The sequence below is a fragment of the Homo sapiens genome, chromosome 18, assembly GCF_000001405.40.
Source record: "Homo sapiens chromosome 18, GRCh38.p14 Primary Assembly".
In the NCBI taxonomy this organism is placed as follows: domain Eukaryota; kingdom Metazoa; phylum Chordata; class Mammalia; order Primates; family Hominidae; genus Homo; species Homo sapiens.
Genome location: NC_000018.10, coordinates 12,753,336 through 12,756,311, shown reverse-complemented (window position 1 = coordinate 12,756,311; position 2,976 = coordinate 12,753,336).

The window sequence follows — 2,976 nt, the reverse complement described above, 5'->3', positions numbered from 1 at the left end:
TCCCAAAGTGCTGGGATTACAGGCGTGAGCCACCGCACCCGGCCAGCAGAGGAGGATTTTAATAATCAAGTGGGCTAGGTGCGTAATCCCAGCACTTTGGGAGGCCAAGGCAAGTGGGTCATCTGAGGTCAGGAGTTTGAGACCAGCCTGACCAATATGGTGAAACCCTGACTCTAGTAAAAATACAAAAATTAGCAGGGTGTGGTGGTGCATGCCTGTAATCCCAGCTACTTGGGAGGCTGAGGCAGGAGAATTGCTTGAACCTGGGAGGTGGAGGTTGCAGTGAGCCAAGGTTGCCATTGCACTCCAGCCTGGGTGGTAAGAGCAGTACTCCATCTCAATAATAATCAAGTGGATAGGATGACCCATTCTATGGACACCATTCAGTCTCTTTCCCCAACCACCCCTGTCATCGCCCAATGGGCCCATGAACAAAGGGGCCATGGTGGCAGGGATGGAGGTTACACATGGGCTCAGCAACATGGACTTCCACTCACCAAGACTGACCTGGCTACGGCCGCTGCTGAGGGCCCCATTTGCCAGCAGCAGAGACCAATACTAAGCCCTCGACATGGCACCGTTCCTCGGGGGTGACCAGCCAGCTACCTGGTGGCAGGTTGATTATATTGGACCTCTTCCATCATGGAAAGGGCAGAGGTTTGCCCTCATTGGAATAGATACTTACTCTGCATATGGATTTGCCTATCCTGCACGCAGTGCTTCTACCAAGACTACCATCCATCCGTGGGCTCACAGAATGCCTTATACACCAACATGGTATTCCACACAGCATTGCCTCTGACCAAGGCACTCACTTTACGGCTAAAGAATTGCAACAGTGGGCTCATGCTCACGGAATTCACTGGTCTTACCATGTTCCCCATCATCCAGGGTTGGGGCAAAGTTCTCCAGAAGGCCGTGTATGCTCTGAATCAGCGTCCAATATATGGTGCTGTTTCTCCCACAGACAGGATTCATATGTCCAGGAATCAAGGGGTGGAAGTGGAAGTGGCACCACTCACCATCACCCCTGGTGATCCACTAGCAAAAGTTTTGCTTCCTTTTCCTGTGACATTACTTTCTGCTGGCCTAGCGGTCTTAGTTACAGAGGGAGGAAAGCTGCCAACAGGAGACACAACAATGAGTCCATTAAACTGGAAGTTAAAATTGCCACCTGGACATTTTGGGCTCCTCTTACCTTTAAGTCAACAGGCTAAGAAGGGAGTTACAGAGTTGGCTGCAGTGATTGACTCGAACTATCAAGATGAAATCAGTCCACTACTCCACAACAGAGGAAAGGAAGAGTATGCATGGAATATAGGAGATCCATTAGGGCGTCTCTTAGTATTACCATGCCCTGTGATTAAGGTCAATGGGAAACTACAACAGCCCAATCCAGGCAGGATTACAAATAACCCAGACCCTTCAGGAATGAAGGTTTGGGTCATTCCACCAGGAAAATAGCCACAACCTGCTGAGGTGCTTGCTGAAGGCAAAGGGAATACAGAACGGGTAGTAGAAGAAGGTAGTTATCAATACCAGCCATGACCACGTGACCCGCTGCAGAAGCGAGGACTGTAATTGTTATGAGTATTTCCTCCTTCTTTCGTTAAAAACATGTTTGTGCATGCATACACTTGTGCTAAGAAAATAACTTCATTTTATTTCCTTTCTCCTTTATCATGTGACATAAGATTTATTGACTTCATGTTAGCATTTAAGTACTGTTAACTTTATGTAATAGTATTGGGGTTGGGGATTGGTGCATTTCCAGTTGTACGAAGGATAGTTGTATTATGTTAGGCGTAATTATGACCTTATTGTTGTCCTTATTTGAAGATTATGTATGATCTCAGGAGTTGTGTATGGGTTCAAGTTGACAAGGGGTAGACTTGTGATGGTTAATACTGTCAACCTGATTGGATTGAAGGATACAAAGTATTAATCCTGGGTGTGTCTGTGAGGGTGTTGCCAAAAGAGATTAACATTTGAGTCAGTGGGTGGGGAAGGCAGATCCACCCTTAATTTGGTGGGCACAATCTAATCAGCTTCCAGTGAATATAAAGCAGGCAGAAAAATATGAAAAAGAGAGATGGGCCTAGCCTCCCAGCCTACGTCTTTGTCCCATGCTGGATGCTTCCTGCCCTTGAACATCGGACTCCAAGTTCTTCAGGTTTGGGACTCGGACTGGCTCTCCTTGCTCCTCAGCTAGCAGACAGCCTATTGTGGGACTTTGTGATCGTGTAAGTTAATAAAGTTAATACTTAATAAACTCATATATATTCTATTAGTTCTGTCCCTTTAAGAGAACCCTGACAAATACAGGAGGTAATTAAGGTTAAGGTTCAATGGGGTCATAAGGGTGGGCCCTGGTCCCATGGATCTGGTGATCTTAGAAGAAGAGAAAGAGGCTGGGTGAGGTGGCTCATGCCTGTAATCCCAGCACTTTGGGAGGCTCAGATAGGAGGATTGCTTGAGCCCAGGATTTCAAGGTTACAGTCAGCTATGATTGTGCCACTGCACTCCAGCCTGGGTGAGACCTTGTCTCTAAAAAAAAAAAAAAAAAAAAAAAAAATATATATATATATATATAGTGTTATATTTATAGTAATATATATAATTATTATTTTTTAGACACAGGGTCTTACTTTGTCACACAGCCTGGAGTGCAGCCGTTCAAACAGCTCACTGCACCCTCCACCTCTTGAGCTCAGGCGATCCTCCCACCTCAGCCTTCTGGGTACCTAGGACCACTTGTGTGTGCCACCATGCCCCACTAATTTTTAAACTTTTTGTAGAGATGGGGTCTCGCCATGTTGTCCAGGCTGGTCTCAAACTCCTCGGCTCAAGTGATCCTCTCACCTCAGCCTCCCAAAGTGCTGGAATTACAGGTACGAGCCACTGTGCCTGGCCCTAAAAATTTCATTCAAATTAAAAAAAAAAAAGAAAAGAAAAGAAAAGAAGAAAAGGGACATC